General features: G+C 45.4%; 1 protein-coding gene across 5 annotated transcripts in view; it reads left to right on the top strand.

Annotated features, from left to right (window-relative positions):
• The window catches only part of CACNA1A (calcium voltage-gated channel subunit alpha1 A), a 300038-nt gene that overhangs the window by 180421 nt on the left and 100412 nt on the right, over positions 1–19205 (top strand). For all 5 annotated transcript variants that reach the window (NM_001127222.2, NM_001127221.2, NM_001174080.2 and 2 more), the window contains exons 11-15: positions 8738–8947; positions 13278–13390; positions 17531–17643; positions 17808–17939; positions 18205–18277. In NM_001127222.2, coding sequence (NP_001120694.1) covers positions 8738–8947; positions 13278–13390; positions 17531–17643; positions 17808–17939; positions 18205–18277 — 641 coding nt within the window. The remainder of the gene's footprint in view (positions 1–8737; positions 8948–13277; positions 13391–17530; positions 17644–17807; positions 17940–18204; positions 18278–19205) is intronic.

Raw genomic sequence — 19205 nt, 5'->3', positions numbered from 1 at the left:
CAGGTGTTAGCCACCGCGCCTGACAGGATATCAAATTTCATTTAGACTGCAGGAATACGTTCAAGAGATCTATTTTGTACAGCCTGGCGACTGTATTAATAACAATGTATTATATACTTGAAAATTGCTCAGAGAGTAGGTTTTAAGCATTCTCACCGTGAGAAAAGTGATAAGCATATGTAATAATGCATATGTTAACTAGCTCAACTGAGCCACTCCATAGTGTATACATATGGTCAAAATATCATGTTATGCACTATAAATAGATACAGCCTGTATCTGTCAATTTAAAATAAATGAATAATAACTTTAAAAAGAAAAATAACAGTATGGCTGGGCACGGTGGCTCACACCTGTAATCCCAGCACTTTGGGATGCCAAGACAGGCTTGAGGCCAGGAGTTTGAGACCAGCCTGGCCAACATGGCGAAACTTTGTCTCTAATAAATATACAAAAATCGGCTGGGCATGGAGGCGGGCGCCTGTAATCCCAACTACTTGGGAGGCAGAGGCATCACTTAACCTGGGAGATGGAGGTTGCAGTGAGCCAAGATCTGCACTCCAGCCTGGGTGATAGAGTGAGCCTTTATTTATTTCTGTAAAGAATGCAATAATACAGGCCTGGTGCGGTGGCTCATGCCTATAATCCCAATGTTTTGGAAGGCCAAGGTGAGAGGATCATTTGAGGCTACAGGCGCATGCCACAGTGCCCAGCTAATACTTGATAGAGACACGGTCTCGCTATGTTGCCCAGGCTGGTCTCAAAACCCTGGCTTCAAATGAGCCTCCCACCTTGGCCTCCCAGAGTGTTGTGATTACAGGTGTGAGACACTGTACCTGGCCTGTATTAAAAAAAAAAAAAAGAAGAAGAAGAAGAAGAGGAGGAAAGAAGAAGAAGGAAGAAGGAAGAAGAAGAAGAGGAGGAGGAGGAGGAATGGGAAGGGGAAGGGGAAGAAGAAGAGGAGGAAGGGGAAGGGGAAGAAGAAGAGGAGGAGGAAGGGGAAGGGGAAGAGGAAGAAGAAGAGGAAGAAGAAGACGAAGAAGAAGCACAATGATAAATAAGTAAAATGTGGAGCATATGAAAACAAAACAAAAAAAAGTTGATCCATTATGAATGGAAGCTGCCATTGTAACTCTGCTTTTTTAGGAAAACCAGACCCCATTTAGATGATTTTATTTGTTTTTAAAGGCAGGTTCTTGCTCTGTCACTCAGGCTGGAGTGCAGTGATATGATCATAGCTCTCTGCAGCCTGGAGCTCCTGGGCTCAGGCGATCCTCCCAGCTTAGCCTCCCAAGTAGCTGGGACTACAGGCACCACCACACCCAGCTAATTTGTTGTTGTTGTTGATGTTGTTGTTGAGATGGGGTCTGGCTATGTTGCCCAGGCTGGTCTCAAACTCCTGGCCTCAAGTGATCCTCCTGCCCTGGCTTCCCAAAGTTCTGGGATTACAGGCATGATTTTTTATTAATTTATTTGCAGCTGACAAATGGTAATTGTGTATGTTTATGGAGTGCAGTGTGATGTTTTAATCTATGTATACATCATAGAATGATTCAGTCATGCTAATTAACACATCCATCGCCTCACCACCTCACCGTTTTTTGTGTGTGGGGAAGGCATTAAAAATCTCTTAGCAATTTTGAAATATGCAACACATTACTATTTATTAATAATGCAATATAAATACACAATAATGTATTAATGCATCACTAAATGCGATGCAATGCAATGCAATGCAATAGATCACTAAAACTTACTCCTCCAGTCTAACTGCAACTTATACCCTTTGATCAACATCTTCTCCTTCTCAATCCCTCCTCCTCCCCTGCAGCCTCCAGGAACCACCTTCCTGCTCTTTCTATGAGATCAATTTTTTTTAGTTTTAAGCTCCCACATGTGAGATCATACTGTAATTGTCTTTCTGTGCCAGCTTATTTTACTCAGTATAATGTCCTCCAGTTCTGTCCCTGTTGTCACACATTACAGAATTTCTTTCTTTTAGGGCTGTATAGTATTCTATTTGTATACATACCACATTTTCTTTATCCATTCATCCATTGTGGGACACTTAGTTTGCTTCCATATTTTGGCTATTGTGAATAATGCTGAAGTGAACGTGGGAGTGCAGATGTTCTGAAAAGACTTAAATGTCAGACCTGAAATGGTAAAGATGCTCCAAGAAAACATAAGGAGAAAGCTCCATGGCATTGGTCTCGGGAATGATTTTTTGGACAGGACCTCAAAAGCACAGGCAACAGAAGCCAAAATGGACAAATGGGATCGTATCAAACTAAAAAATTTGTGCACAGCAAAGGAAGCGTTCAGCAGAGGAAAGAGACAACCTAAGGAATGTGAGAAAACGTTTGCAAACAATACATCTGATAAGGAGCTAATATCCAAAATATATAAGGAACTCAAACAACTCAACAGCAAGAAAACAACCCAATTAAAAATGGGCAAAGACAGCTACTCGGGAGGCTAAGATGTGACGATCCCTTGAGCCCGGGAGGAGGAGGTTGCAGTGAGCTGACATTGCATCACTGCACTCCACCCTGGGCGACAGAAGGAGACCGAGACCCTGTCTCAAAATAAAAAATAAAAATGTGCAAAGGATCTGAACATACATATCCCAAAAGAAAAGACATACAAGTGGCCAACAGGTATATGAATAAAATGCTGAACATCACTCATCATCAGGGAAATGCAAATCAAAACCACCATTAGCTATCACCTCACACCTGTTAGAGTAGCTATTATCTTTTTGTTTGTTTGTTTGTTTTTTGTTTTTTGTTTTGTTTTTGAGAGGGAGTCTCACTCTGTCACCCAAGCTGGAGCGCAGTGTTGTGATCTCAGCTCACTGCAACCTCTGCCTCCTGGGTTCAAGGGATTCTCCTGCCTCAGCCTCCCGAGTAACTGAAATTACAGGCACACGCCACCATGCCCAGCTAACTTTTGTATTTAGTTTCACTATGTTGGTCAGGCTGGTCTTGAATTCCTGACCTCAAATGATCTGCCCTCCTTGGCCTCCCAAAGTGCTGGGATTACAGGTGTGAGACACTGTGCCCAGCCTAGAGTAGCTATTATCAAAAAGACAAATGAGGTTTGTTGAAGTTCTAACCCCTGGTACCTGCAAATGTGGCCTTACATGAAAATAGGGTCTTTGCAGGTGGTAATCAAGTTAAGATGAGATCAAACTTAATTAGGGTGGGTCCTAAATCCAATGACTGCTGTCTTTATAAGAGGAGAAGCAGGCTGACCAACATGGTGAAACCCCATCTCTACTAAAAATACAAAAATTAGCTGGGTGCAGTAGTGCACACCTGTAGTCCCAGCTACTCAGGAGGCTGAGGCAGGAGAATTGCTTAAACCCAGGAGGTGGAGGTTGCAGTGAGCAGACGTCATGCCACTGCACTCCAGCCTGGGTGACAGAGTGAGACTCCATCTTACAAGAAAAAAAAAAAAGACAAATCATAACAAGTGCTGGCAAGGATGTGGGGAAACGGGGATCCATTTACATCATTTTAATAACACAGGCTCTATATGGGTGGTATTGAGTTCCCAGAGTTGCCATTACAAAATGTCACAAACCCAGTGGCTTAAAACAACAGAAATTTCTTCTCTCACAGTTCTAGAGGCCAGAAGTCCAAACTGAAATCAAGGTGTCAGCAGAGCCACCACGTTCCCTCAGAAGGTTTTAGGGGAGAATCTGTTCCATGGTATTTTCTTAGTTTCTGGTGCTGCCAGCGATACTTGGTGTTCCTCAGTTCATAGATGCATAATTCCAGTCTCTGCCTCTGTTGTCATATGGTCTTCTTTCTGTGTTTCTGTATGCGATTTCTTTTTTTTTTTTTTTTTTCTGAGACAAGTCTCACTCCATCACCCAGGCTGGAGTGCAATGGCACGATCACAGCTCACTACAACCCCAACCTCACAGGCTCATGCCGTCCTCCCACCTCAGCCTCCCGAGTAGCTGGGATTACAGGCGTGTGCCACCATGCCCGGCTAATTTTTGTATTTTTAGTAGATACGGGGTTTCACCATGTTGGCCAGGCTGGTCTCGAACTCCTGACCTTACGATCTGCCCATCTCGGCCTCCCAAAGTGTTGGGATTACGGGCACGAGCCCACCGCACCTGGCCCTAATTACTTTATTTTTTTGTAAATTTTTTTTTGTAAATTTCATGTAGCCTGAGCATACAGTGTTTATAATATATACAGGAGTGTACAATAATATCCTAGGCCTTCACATTCACTCACCACTCAACTCACTCCCTCACCAAGAGCAACTTCCAGTCCTGCAAGCTCCATTCATGCCAAGTACCCTATGCAGCTGAACCACCTTTTCTCTTTTATACTGTGTTTTTACTGTACCTTTTCTATGTTTAGATATGTTCAGACACACAAATACTATGATGTTACAGTTGCCTACAGTATTAAGTACAGTAACATGCTGGGCAGGTTTGTAGCCGAGGAGCTACAAACCACGTAGCCTGGGTGTGGAGTAGGCTACAACATCTAGGTTTATGTAAGTTCACTTTAAGATGCTCACACAAGGACAAAATTGCCTAACAATGCATTTCTCAGAACACGTCTCCCTCATTAAGCCACACATGGCTGTATTACAATTTACATATAATTTTAAGCGTATATAAATTGCCAGAAATCACCAGATGAATCCTTGGCGGTGACATACCCCTTCCCCCACCATAGAACATTGCAGACTGGCCCGGACGCCCAGTATCTCATGCCTGTAATGCCAGCACTTTGGGAGGCTGCAGCGGGCAGATCACTTGAGGTTAGGAGTTCGAGACCAGCCTGACCAACATGGCAAAACACCATCTTTACTAAAAATACAAAAATTATTCGGACGTGGTAGTGGGCACCTGTAGTTCCAGCTACTTGGGAGGCTGAGGCAGGAGAGTCACTTGAACTTGGGAGGCAGAGGTTGCAATGAGCCAAGATCGTGCCACTGCACTCCAGCCCGGGTGACAGAATGAGACTCTATCTCAAAAAAAAAAGAAAAAAAAAAAAAAAGGAAAAGAACATTTCAGACTGGTACCAGTTACACCGGCTCTTGATCCCTTGAATGTGGCTGACCCTGAACTAGGATGTACTTCATAATAACACGTCCGGCTGGGAATACTTAGTACAAAAGAAAGAGTATAAAATATCTTTTGAATCCACCTTGATATTGATTCCATGTTGAAATGGTAATATTTTGGATGTATTGGGTTGAATAAAACATCTCATGAAAGTGATTTTTAAAAATCTAGAAATTGTCTGCAATTATAATTCCAGACCACAGAGAAAAACGAGAGACAGGAATGTATAGAAAAAGGGAACGTGGGACAAAGTGAGTATGAAATTCAACTAACAGAAGTGACAGTGCCTAGCATGGGGTCCAGCACTTAGTAGGTGTTCAATTAATATTCATTTCCCTCTCCCTTACCAGTGAAGGGTATGCCTGTCGTGGGGAATGTGTCTTCAGGCTGAGTGATCAGGAAGGACTTTCTCAATGGCTGGCACGTGAACCTAGTCATGATTTCAGCTCTTGAGGTTGTACTAGAAGATTTATATCCAATAATCGTAAGGTACCACTTAGCATCACGCTAAGATGTATTAATTCATTTATGCCTTTGGATGGCCCTTTGAGGTAGGAAGTGTGGTTGTCTCCAGTTTACCAAGGTGGCTTGCCCAAGGTCATCTGCTGGTTGGTGATTAAGCCAGGTTTTCAGTGTGGCTCCAGCAGGAGTGGGGGCTGGGGACCTTCTACCTGCTGTGGTTTCTCTCTCTCTCTCTCTCTCTCTCTCTCTCTCTCTCTCGATCTGTGGAACATCCCCCCTGTCCCCCAAGGTCCCAAGGGTCTTATTTCTTTTGGCCAAGCCCTTTGGAGACCTGCAGATCTGGACACATCTTTGAGAGTTTCAGGAACTAGGGCCAGAAATGCTGGGCAGGGTCATGAGGAGCTGCCACTGGGGTTGAGAAGGTGATGGACATGAGGGGAAGGGTCTTTGCAGAAAGGAGAGGCGTCCCTGTAAGCAGGTCACAGCCACTGGGCCTGGCCAACTGCAGCCGAGTGGAATGTGCCCCTGCCCCATGACCATATGCCCCAGGTGTGCAATGTGGCGGCCCAGAGCACACACTCTGAACCATCTTGACACATCTTCACTGGTTACTAGACCCCCCTCAGCCTGTTTCCTTGGCTGTAAAATGGGGATGACGCTGGTCCCTACTTCCTAGGGCTCTGAGCAGGAGTAAGTAGCTTGTCGTATAAAACATGTTCCCTGCAGTGCCTGGTGCCTGCTAAATGTTCCATAAACGTCAGCTGTTATTTTCATTCAGGGGAAGCTGAAATCCATATTTTCATGGAAAATCTCCCAGTTTTTAAATGTGGACCAATAATTTCAGCTTTCACAAACCCAGTATGAGTCGGTATGGCCCCTAGGGTGCCAACTCAAAATCTCTGTTGAGAATTTTGCTGATAGGAAGTGGCCTCCTTGGAGGTGTTTGCTGTGTCCTGTGTCTGGCAAGTGGGGTGGTTTTGATAAACGTGCTGGATGGATGTATGGGTGAATGGATAAATGGAGGAATGAATGGAGAAACAAATGAGCAAATGAATAATGAATGGATGGATGAATGGATGAGCGAATGGATGGATGAATGGATGAGCAAATGAATGATGTACACACAAAGGAATGGATAAATGATGAATGTGCTAATGAATTTAAGAATGATGAAAGAATGAATGAATAAATGAACAAATGGATGGATGAAAGAATGAATGAATGTACTAATGAATGAATCAATCAATGAAGAACCATTTAAAAATGAATGCAACTGAGGGTTTATAAGAAAAGGTATCTTAAGCCTGGGCATGGTAATTCATGCTGGAATCCCAATGCTTAGGGACGCTGAGGCGGGAGGATCGCTTGAACCCAGGAGTTCAAGACCAGCCTGGGCAACACAGGGAGACCTCATTGCTACCAAAAACAAAATTGTTTTAATTAAGCGGGCATGGTGGTACGTGCCTGTAGTCATAGCTACTTGGGAGGCTGAGGTGGGAGGATCGCTTGAACCCAGGAGTTCAAGGCTGCAGTGAGCTAGGATCAAGCCACTGCATTCCAGCCTGGGCAACAAAGCAAGATCCTGTCTCAAAAAAAAAAAAAAAAGATGTATTTTAGAAGGTAAATTCAATCTGTCCAAAACTGAGCTCTGACCTTCCCCTAAACCTGTGCCCATTCAGTGGATGAGAGCTCCATCCCTTAAGGGGTTCACCAATTCATCCATTCCTTTGTATGTACATCATTCATTCACCTTGGCTCATCCCTCTCTCTTACATCCACACCGTTCCATCAGCAAATGTTGAATCTGTCTTAAATGATTCATCCCAAATCCTCCCCGCTTAACTACCACCCAACTCCAGCCCCCATCCATCATCATCATCACTTGCCTGGATGGGTTCAGTCACCTCCAGCCTGGTCTCCCAGCTCCCGTCCTCACCTCTCACTGTCTACTCTCCCACTCGGCAGCCAGAGGGTGCCTGTGAACACCCAAATCAGGTTCCATCCCTCCTCTACTCAGAACCCTCCACGGCTCCCCCCTCACTCAGGGTAAAAGCCAAAGTCCTCCTTGTGGTCCACCAGGCCATGCATGATCTGCCTGTCACCTCCCTGCCTTCACCACCTTCCTCTTTTCCCCTCAACCACTCCACTCCAGCCACACTGACTTCCTTGTGCTCTTCCCCAAAAATGTCGGGCAGACACATTCATGCTTCAGGACCTTAAATTTGCTGTTTCCTCTACCTAAGATACTAAAGTGACAAGTCAACACACTCACCTTGACCATGCAATTTAATGTTGCAGCCTACCCTGTGGACTCTCCAAGGGCTCCCAGTCCCTCTGTGATGCTTTACTTTTTCTCTTAAAAAAAAAATTGTTATTTAAAAGAACTTGTCTCGCTGTGTTGCCCAGGCTGGTGTCAAACTCCTGGCCTCATACAGTCCTCCCATTCCAGCTTCCCAAAGTACTGGGATTAGAGGCATGTGCCACTGCACCCATCCCAACTTTTTTTTTCCCATAGCACTTTTCATTTTCCATCCCACTGTTAATTTACTTATTACGTCCACTGTCTGTCTCCTCCCCTTAGAGGGTCAGACCCCGGAAGTCCAGGCTCTGTTGCCTAATGTATCCTGAGCCCCTGGAACAGAGCCTGGCACAAAATAGGTACTCAATAAATGCATAAGAGCAAAACTATATGTAGGCAGAGGACACACCCAGCTTATTCCTCAGTGATCACTTCTAAAGTTAAATGTCCATGGAAAACAGTCTCATCCACATCTCTTTCTGGAGGCCTTCCAAGCGTGCTCCATGCAGCTCTGTTGCCTGCCCCTGCATCAGGGAATGGAGGCTCTGCTTTATCCTGCCCTGTGGTGTGACTCCCAGAGGCATCAGATGTGGCTGGGAGTGGGAGACATGGAAAATTGGCTCCTGCAACAGAGAACTATCAGCCTTCCCATCAATTGGTTACTTCTAATTCTGTTATTTTTCAGGGGCACTGTCTTCTCATAAGCTCCATCTATGCAAAACTAAGCCCATGGGTCATGATGGTTCCCTCAGGCCAGAGGCTTGCTGGAGAGACTAATGGATCCCCTGGCTAAAATCTGTGCTTGGGCTGCACATTGGTTAATTTCTTCTGAAGGAACAGCCTGAGCCTGACATTCTCCATCTTTTCCCTGGCAGGTTCTCCCTTCGCCCGAGCCAGCATTAAAAGTGCCAAGCTGGAGAACTCGACCTTTTTTCACAAAAAGGAGAGGAGGATGCGTTTCTACATCCGCCGCATGGTCAAAACTCAGGCCTTCTACTGGACTGTACTCAGTTTGGTAGCTCTCAACACGCTGTGTGTTGCTATTGTTCACTACAACCAGCCCGAGTGGCTCTCCGACTTCCTTTGTGAGTATCACCCAGCCCCACCCCTGCCAACTCCCTGATCCCTCCCTCACACCCTTTTTCCACTTCTCTTTCTCTGGTAGTATGTGTATCTTCTTTGGTCCTCATTGAATCTGCCCTTTCCTTTAGCCATTTCTATAACTGTCACTGGGGCCAATGTTACTGTTGCTATGACAATGGAACCCATCTCCCTTAGACCTGAGAGCTGGAAGCTGGAATTCAGACCAACAAATGCTCCTGTGATTCCTTTCTAAGAGAGAGGGACAGAGGGGTGCTGGTGAAGGGGATGTTGGAAGAGAGACAGAGAAAGACGGAGCTCATAAGATAGACAGATAGAAACAGAAACATACATGTATTAATAATTTTTATGTACATCTCTGGAAATGTTCATAACTTATGGTTAAGAGAGGATGCCTTAGAAATAAGGAGTGGCTTATATGTTGCCCTCATTTTCTCTACTTATTTCTGACTCTACTTCTCTCTTCTTTCAAACCTTCTGCTTCTTTCCTGTTAGGTTGGTGCAAAATTAATTGCGTTTTTTGCCTTTTTTTTTTTTTTTTTTAACCACAGTTACTTTTGCACCAACCTAATACTTCCTCCCCTGCCCTTTTTGGCTTCCTTATTCATTCATAGAACATCCCCTCCAGTATCTGCGAGAGCGTTTTGCTCCCTCAAGGTACAAGGCCCACTAAGGCTTTGCCCTCTGGGCCTATTCCCAGATTCTATGTGAGTTAGCATGAGATAGTATCAAAATTGAGGGCCAAGTGAGGGTGAGGAAAAGCAGCAAAAGATGGGGAGATGTCTGAGCAGGATTTAAAAAGTAAAGAGCTCGAGGAATCAACAAGAGCAGCGACTGGGGCCAGGCATGGTGGCTCACACCTGTAATCCCAGCATTTTGGGAGGCTGAGGTGGGTGGATCACTTGAGGCCAGGAGTTCAAGACCAGCCTGGCCAATATGGTGAAACCCTGTCTTTACAAAAAATACAAAAATTAGCCAGATGTGATGGTGCACACCTGTAATCCCAGCTACTCAGGAGGCTGAGGCACTAGAACTGCTTGAATCCAGGAGGCAGAGGTTGCAGTGAGCCAAGATCATGCCACTGCACTCCAGCCTGAGCAACAGAGAGAGTGTCTGTCTCAAAAAATAAAGTAAAATAAAATAAAATAAAATAAAGAGTAGTGATTGGGCAGTGAGGGGGGCAGGTGGATGCCCTGGCTTTGGCTCACAGGCCCCAAGTAAGGACTTCTCAAAACGTCTTTTGCCTACTGGCTGTCTAATTTATTCACTGACCTTCTGACCTGGTTCAGAATTGACTTAGGACAGCAAGAAGAGACAGTCTAGTCTTTGACCTAGAAAGGCCCGTGAGCCTAGTCCAGGCCATTGTCTTCTTATAACCCTCCTTGTTCCCAGTCACGTTGGCTGACCCCCCAGGACACCCCTCAGGAACCAGTTCTCCTTCCCAGGGCCCTGACCTAGTTTCAAACTTAGTAATTGTTTTTAGTCCCTCTGGAGTCTCTTATAAATGAGGACTCTACTTCGTGTTTTAACTTCCTCTAATACTCTATTTTTAATCTCCTATATTCTCTCTACTAATCATCTTGTACAGTCTGTCCTGGTTCAGGAACAAGGGACTGAGACTTCCTGCCTGGGTCCTCAGTGTCTATAAAGGTCCTTTACTCATTCCCACTTTCCCTTTGAGAAAACTGAGACACAGAGAGGTTAAGTAGATTGCCCAGGATCACACATTAGCTTGGCATGATGGCGGGCGCCTGTAATCCCAGCTACTTGGGAGGCTGAGGCAGGAGAATCGCTTGAACCTGGGAGGCAGAGGTTGCAGTGAGCCCAGATCATGCCACTGCACTCTAGCCTGGGCAACAGAGCTAGACGCCATCTCAAAAAAAAAAAAAAAAAAAAAAAGATACACATTAATTTCAGAGATGTCAAAATATAAACAAAAATGTATATCTTGGCATCAGTGAAGTGTAGTTGTTTCTCTGGATCTCAGACTCCACATCTATGTGGTAGAAACCGGATTTGATGGTCCTGAAAGTTCTTCCAGATGCAACAATGCTAAGGATAAGTAATTCTTTCAAGTCTTGTGCATCACCTGCTATCATGTTTCCATGGTAACTGAGGAACAAGATCTCAGAAACTCTTCAGTCCTCCCAGAGTTACTTCTGGTGGGTCTAGGAATGTGTCAGATGTTACAAACAGACTTCCTCTGCTGATATTTTGGTCCTAGGAACCCTAGAGTTCCCCTCAGACACTAAGATCTCCTTAGCGTCCTATAAATAAGGAGAAATTTTGGTGATAAATACTGTGAAGGACTTTGACGGTCAGTTCAAAACACCTCTTAAAAGCATGACATAGCAAACACCCTTGGCAAATATCTTAGTTCATTTGTACTGCTATAACAAATTACCCGAGACTGGGTAATTTGATAAGAACAGAAATTTATTTTCTCACAGTTCTGGAGGCTGGGAAGCCCAAGATCAAGGCATTGGCAGGTTTCCCTGTCTGGCGAAAGCTACTCTCTGCTTCCAAGATTGCACCTTGAACACTGTATCCTCTGGAAGGGAGGAACACTGGGTCCTTACATGGCAGAAGGTGGAGGAGCAAGAGGGACAAACTTCCTCTGTCAACCTCTTTTATAAGGGCACCTAATCCCATTCATGAGAGCTCTACCGTAATGACTTAATCACCTCCTGAAGGCCCCACCTCTTAATACTGTTACATTGGCAATTAAGTTTCAACGTGAATTTTGGAGGGGACACAAACATTTAAACCATCACAACCACCAAACACAATTAGCTTTGTGGCCTTAATTAGCTATATGAAATTCATGGAAGTTAGTTTCAGTCCTCTGTCTCTTTCCTTTCTGTATGCTTTCTGCTCCTCAGAAACCCTCCTCATCTCTCCTTTCTATCCATTAAGTACCCACGCCCTTCCTAACTCCTCATCTTCCTACCCTACCAAGAAAGCCCTCTCAGAAAAGGATCTGATGTCAGCCATTTATTTGCTGGAGCAAATGCATATCCATGTTTTACCCCTCCCTGAGGCATTTGCAATTTTATGCTTGCTCATCAAAGAACAAAAGGCTTTGTCTTACTCAAGACTTTTTAGGTCACTCACAACACAGGATTTCTAGGGGACATAAGACAAGTTTTCTGAGTTAGGAGAAAAGCCATACCTTAGGTGGGTTGCCTGTGTCGCTCCAACTAAGTACTTAACTTCAGGATTACAAATAGGATATCATTATGATTTCTATTTCCTTTTATCCTTTGGAGCTCAGTCACGTAGAAGTAGATTAAATATAATTGTTAGATCACAGCACCCTGGCATTATGGGGCCGTTATGGTCCATTGTTATTATGTGAATTATTCAGTTAATTAGTTTATTTTTTAAATGTGATAAACACCCAGGAACCCACCAGTCAACACAAAAGTCCTTGGCAATAATCTATATCCGATCCTTCTCATCGAACCAGGGCAAAAACTACAAGATGGAGACCCACTGATATTTTTCTCATTCCTTTTAAAATCGGCCTAAGGTTGGTTAGCTTGTTGGTTGGAGGGTAGGGCATAATTGTTGCTTTTTTTTTTTTTTTTTTTTTTTAGACAAGGTCTTGCTCTGTCACCCAGGCTACAGTAGGGTGGCCCAATCTTGGCTCACTGCAACCTCCACCTCCCAGGTTTAAGTGATTCTCATGCCTCAGCCTCCCAAGTAGCTGGGTTTACAGGCATGTGTCACCACACTGGCTAATTTTTGTATTTTTAGTAGAGGCGGGGTTTGCCATGTTAGCCAGGCTGGTCTCAAACTCCTGACCTCAGTTGATCTGACCGCCTAGGCCTCCCAAAGTGCTGGGATTACAGACGTGAGCCACCATGCCCAGCCAGCTCTTCCTTTTTAACAGAGGGGAAACTGAGGCCCATGGGAAGGACACCTTGGACAGGGCGTGGCCACAGTGGGTCATGTATATAATCCCAGCACTTTGGGAGGCTGTGCTGGGAGGATCACTTGAGGCCAGGAGTTCAAGACCAGCCAGGGCAACATAGTGAGACCCCCATCTCCACATAAAAATTTTAAAAAGAAAAAAGATAAGTCAGAAGTTGGGTGTGGTGACACATGCCTGTAGTTCTAGCATGTTGGAGGCCAAATCAGGGAAACTGTTTGAGGCCAGGAGTTTGAAACCAGCCTAACAGCATAGCAAGACCTCATCTCTACAAAAAATAAAAAGTTTAAAAATGATAATAAAAGGAAAGTCAGAGCCACCTGGAACCCCTACCCTCAGCAAGCCTAACCTCCTCTCTGTTTCCTCCTTCTCCCTTCTAGACTATGCAGAATTCATTTTCTTAGGACTCTTTATGTCCGAAATGTTTATAAAAATGTACGGGCTTGGGACGCGGCCTTACTTCCACTCTTCCTTCAACTGCTTTGACTGTGGGGTAAGTGCTCTTGTTTCTAAGAGTTCATTTCTCCAGCTCTTGCCTGGAATGACAGATACCTGGACACATTAAAGGGAGAAAGGTAAAGTCACCCCTGAATATGAGAGACTCAGATGGATGCAGAAGGAATGAGAAAACAATCCCAAACACTGGCAAGGATACAGTGTACCCAGAACCCTCAACCACCGCCAGTGGGAGGAAAACGTATAGACCCCCTTTGGAAAGCTAAGTGGGGGACATAAGACAAGTTTTCCAAGTTGGGAGAAAAGCCATGCCTTAGGTGGGTTGCCTGTGTCGCTCCAACTAAGTACCCAACTTCAGGATTACAAACAGGACATCAATATGATTTCTATTTCTTCTTTTCCTTTGTAGCTCAGTCATGTGGAGGTAGATGAAGTATAATTGTTAGATTACAACACCCTGGCATTATGGAGCCATTATGGTCCTTTGTTATTTTGTGAATTACTCAGTTAATTAATTTATTTTTTAAATGTGATTAACACCCAGTAACCCACTAGTCCACACAAAACCTAAGTCCTGGAGAATAATCTACGTCCAATCCTTCTCATCGAACCAGGGCAAAAACTACAAGATGGAGATATGACCCAGCATTCCATTGCTAGGAATTCATCCTAGAAAATCTCACCCAGATACCTAGGAGACACAGGCCAGAATGTCCCTGCAGCTGGAAGTGAAATTAAGGTTGTTCGCAAATAAGTGGAGAATGCCTGGCCCAGGGCAGCCCTAATCATTTACCATAGTCCTGTTGGTCTCAGAAAGGCTTAATAATTTATTTATTTTTTTTTATTTTTTGTTTTTATTTTTTGTTTTTGAGATGGAGTCTCGTTCTGTCACCCAGGCTGGAGTGCGGTGGCGCCATCTCGGCTCACTGCAAGCTCCGCCTCCCAGGTTCACTCCATTCTCCTGCCTCAGCCTCCCGAGTAGCTGGGACTACAGGTGCCCGCCATCATACCTGGCTAATTTTTTGTATTTTTAGTAGAGATGGGGTTTCACCGTGTTAGCCAGGATGGTCTTGATCTCCTGACCTCGTGATCCACCCGCCTTGGCCTCCCAAAGTGCTGGGATTACAGGCGTGAGCCACCACACCCAGCCAGCTTAATAATTTATAATAACTGAATGTTGTACTGTTTTCTGCCATTATAGAAAATTATGTTGTTGGAGAAAACAAAATACATACAAACAAGCAAACCTTCCCTACATAAATGACCCAAGTAGTTAAAGAATAAAACCAATTTCTTTCCATTAAAAAGAAAAGAAAGCCGGGTGTGATGCCTCATGCCTATAGCCTCAGCTATTCAGGAGGCTGAGGCAGCAGAATTGCTTGAGCCCAGGAGTTGAAAACCAGCCCAGGCAACATAGCAAGACCCTGTCTCTACAAAAATTAATAATAATTAGCCAGGTGTGGTGGTGCACACCTGTAGCCCCAGCTACTCAGAAGGCTAAGGTGGGAGGATTGCTTGAGCCCAGCAGTTTGAGGCTGCAGTGAGCTATGATCACACCACTGCCCTCCAGCCTGGACAAGAGAGTGAGACCCCATCTCTAAGAAATAAAAGTAGGCCAGGCACAGTGGCTCACACCTATAATCCCAGCACTTTGAGAGGCGGAGGCAGGTGGATCACCTGAAGTCAGGAGTTCAAGACCAGCCTGGCCAACATGGCGAAACCCCGTCTATACTAAAAAAATACAAAAATTAGCCAGGCGTCGTGGCACATGCCTGTAATCCCAGCTACTTGGGAGGCTGAGGAAGGAGAATCACTTGAACTGGGGAGGCAGAGGTTGCAGTAAGCTGAGATTGCACCACTGCACTCCAGCCTGGGTGACAGAATGAGACTCCGTCTCAAAAAAAAAAAAAGAAAAATTTTAAAATGTCCTGAGCAACCTTGTTTGTAATAGTTCCAAGTCTCAATATCCGTGTATCCCTTTGCTGTAGAACAGATAAATATTTTGTGGCATATCTATATAATGAAATACTCTGTGACAATCAAAGTCCACCAACAGCAGCCACATGCCCAACAACAGGAATGAATCTCACCCATGTAACATGGCACAGAAGGAGGCAGGAGCTAGCAACGTAAGTCCATACAGTTCATGCAAAGTTCAAGTGGACAAAATTAAACTCTCTCTCTCTCTCTACATATATATATATATATATATATATTTTTTTTTTTTTTTTTTTTTTTTTTTTTTTTTTTTGAGACAGAGTCTCACTCTATTGCCCAGGCTGGAGTGCAGTGGCGCAATCTTGGCTCACTACAACCTCCACCTCCCGGGTTCAAGCCATTCTCCCGCCTCAGCCTCCCAAGTAGCTGGGATTAGAGGCATGCACCACCACCCCCGGCTAATTTTGTATTTTTTGTAGAGACCGGGATTCAGCAATTTGCCCAGGCTGGTCTCGAAATCCTGATCTCAGGTGATCCACCTGCCCTGGCCTCCCAAAGTGCTGGGATTACAAGCGTGAGCCACCACGCCCCGCCTTAAACTGTATTTTTTAAGGATGATACTTGAATACGTTAAAAAGGCGAGGACCTTGAAAACACAACGCTCGGTAAAAGAAACCAAACACAAAAGGTCAAGTATTGCATAATTCCATTTGTATGAAATGTCCAGAGCAGGCAAATCCATAGAGACAGAAAGTAGATTAGTGGTTGCTAGGGTCTGGGTGAGGGAGAGTGGGGAGTAACTGCTCATGGGGACAGGGCCTCCTTTGGGGGTGATGAAAATGTTTTGGAACTTGATAGAGGTGATAGTTGCAGAATATTGTGCATGTACCTAAAGGCACTGAATTGTGTAATTCAAAGTGTGAATTTTATGTTATGTGAATTTCACCTCAGTTTTTTTTAAGGTAAGAAAATGGTTATTACAAAATTCAGGATGGTAGTTATATCACAGTGTCTCTGGAAACTTCCAGGGTATCCACATGTCCCTTTTTATTTTATTTTATTTTTTATTTTATTTGAGATAGGGTCTTGCTCTGTTGCCCAGGCTAGAGTGCAGTGGCAGGATCATGACCCTCTCCTGTCTCAAATTCCTAGGCTCAAGCTATCCTCCCTCCTCAGCCTCCTAAGTAGCTGGGACTATAGGCACATGCCACCATGCTTGACTAATTTTTTTTTTTTTTGTAAAGTCAGGGTTTCCCTGTGTTACCCAGGCTGGTCTTGAACTCCTGGGCTCAAGTGATCTGCCCACCTCGGCCTCCCAAAGTTCCAGAATTACAGGCATGAGCCACTGCCCTAGCCTTCTCCTAATTGTTGACATAGGTAGTAGTTGCATGACATTCACTTTGTAATTATGTGTTTCAGGAATTCTCAGGCCTGTGGGAGCTCTTAATAAATAAAAAAGAGGCCAGGTGTGGTGGCTCACGCCTGTAATCCCAGCACTTTGGGAGGCCGAGGCAGGCGGATCACGAGGTCAGGAGTTCGAGACTAGCCTGGCCAACACAGTGAAACCCCGTCTCTACTAAAAATACAAAAAATTAGCCGGGCGTGGTGGCGGGTGCCTGTAATCCCAGTTACTTGGGAGGCTGAGGCAGGAGAATCGCTTGAACCTGGGAGGCGGAGGTTGCAGTAAGCTGAGATCGCGCCACTGCACACCAGCCTGGGTGATAAGAGCAAGACTCCATCTCAAAATAAATGAATAAATAAAAATAAATAAATAAATAAGAGGCCGGGTGCAGTGGCTCAATGCTTTGGAAAGTGGAGGCCAACAGTTGGAGAGACCAAAGCAGGAGGATGGCTTCAGCCCAGAAGTTTGAGGCCAGCCTGGGCAATACTAGCGAGACACTATCTCTATAAAAATGTTTTAAAATTAGCCAGATGTGGTGGGGCACACCTGTAATCCCAGCTACTCAAGAGGCTGAGGTGGGAGGATCACTTAAGCCCAGGAGGACAGTGCTGCAGTGAGCTATGATTGCGCCACTGCACTCCAGCCTGGGTGACACAGTGAGACCCGGTCTCTATAGATAAATGAATGGATGAATGAGGGGGTCAAGGATCCTCACCCGGCTTCCATTTGGAGGGAGGAGTTTGGTTGAGTTCTTGCAAGGTTGGTACCTAGGAAATGCTTGCCAGTTCTGGAGCCCAGACACTGTCCCTGGACATGAGACCAGGTTCTCTGCCCTAGGTTATCATTGGGAGCATCTTCGAGGTCATCTGGGCTGTCATAAAACCTGGCACATCCTTTGGAATCAGCGTGTTACGAGCCCTCAGGTTATTGCGTATTTTCAAAGTCACAAAGTAAGTCTTTGGGGTTCCTGGACATTTGTACAGGGGGTGGGGATGGGGGACATGGTGGGGCCGCCTCCAGAAAGTTGGGAAAGTGAGCCTCGTGTTTCGAGGGCTGACTCCGGGGCCCTGCCTCCCCCGCCTGGCCTGAGTCCTCGCCTGGCCTCTGTCGGCAGGTACTGGGCATCTCTCAGAAACCTGGTCGTCTCTCTCCTCAACTCCATGAAGTCCATCATCAGCCTGTTGTTTCTCCTTTTCCTGTTCATTGTCGTCTTCGCCCTTTTGGGAATGCAACTCTTCGGCGGCCAGTAAGTCCTTCACAGGAATTCCAACTCCTGGTTCCCTGGGGTCAGGCTCAGGGAACACACAGTCCCCTCCACCGTGCAGGCTGCCTTCCTCGTAGCCCAGACACCCATTGCGGTCACCCAAATGGGCAGGGCCCTGGGTACCACTCAGGGTTTCCTGGGGACAGAGATGATGGAGACGTTCGTTTCCTTGGAGATGAGATACTGAGCCACACCCTCAGAGCACCCCGGGTGGGGCCAACGTGAAATGTCTGTGTCCTCCCTGCAGGTTTAATTTCGATGAAGGGACTCCTCCCACCAACTTCGATACTTTTCCAGCAGCAATAATGACGGTGTTTCAGGTACAGCCTCCACCTGGCCCCACGGGCCAACACCTCTCAGTGTCACAGATGAAAGTGCCTGCTCCACATCCAAGGGGCTTCCCTGAACTCCTCCTTCTCTACCTGGCCTTTTCACACCACTTTGAAACACAGATTTTATGGTTATCATTATTCAATTATGGTGAGGCCAACAGATCAGGAGATGAATGTCATTGGAAAGATAGTTTGTGGCTGGGCACGGTGGCTCACACCCATAATCCCAGCACTTTGGCCAGGTACGGTGGCTCACACCTGTAATCCCAACGCTTTGGGAAGCCCAGGTGGGCGGATCACTTGAGATCAGGAATTCGAGACCAGCCTGGCCAACATGGTGAAACCCCATCTCTACTAAAAATACAAAAATTAGCCGGGCGTGGTAGCACATGCCTGTAATCCCAGCTACTCGGGAGATGAGGCACAAGAATTGCTTGAACCTGGGAGGCAGAGGTTGCAGTGAGCCAAGATCGCGCCACTGCACTCCAGCCTGGGCAACAGAGTGAGACTCCATCTCAAAAAAGAAAAAGAAAAAAAAAACCACTTTGGGAGGTCAAGATGGGAGGACTACTTGAGGCCAGGAGTTTGAGACAAGTCTGGGCAACATAGTGAGACTCCGTCTCTGCAAAAAAATAATAATAATAATTAGCTGGGCATGGTGATACATACCTCCTAGCTACTAGGGCAGCTGAAGTGGAAGGATTGCTTGAGCCCAGGAGGTTGAGGCTGCAGTAAGCTACAATCACACCACTATACTCCAGCCTGGGCGAGAGAGCAAAGCCCTGTCTCAAAAACGAAAAGAAAGTTTGTTATACTCACAGATCCTCAGAGAAGGAGCACACCATGCAGGACCAAGCAGAGAAGCAACAGGGTCAAGCAGGAAGAGAAGGAAAATGTGGGCAAGAGGCTTGATTGT

Source organism: Homo sapiens, chromosome 19, assembly GCF_000001405.40.
Source record: "Homo sapiens chromosome 19, GRCh38.p14 Primary Assembly".
NCBI lineage: Eukaryota > Metazoa > Chordata > Mammalia > Primates > Hominidae > Homo > Homo sapiens.
The sequence above is the reverse complement of the archived record's forward strand: the minus strand, read 5'-3'. Positions and strand labels throughout refer to the sequence as shown.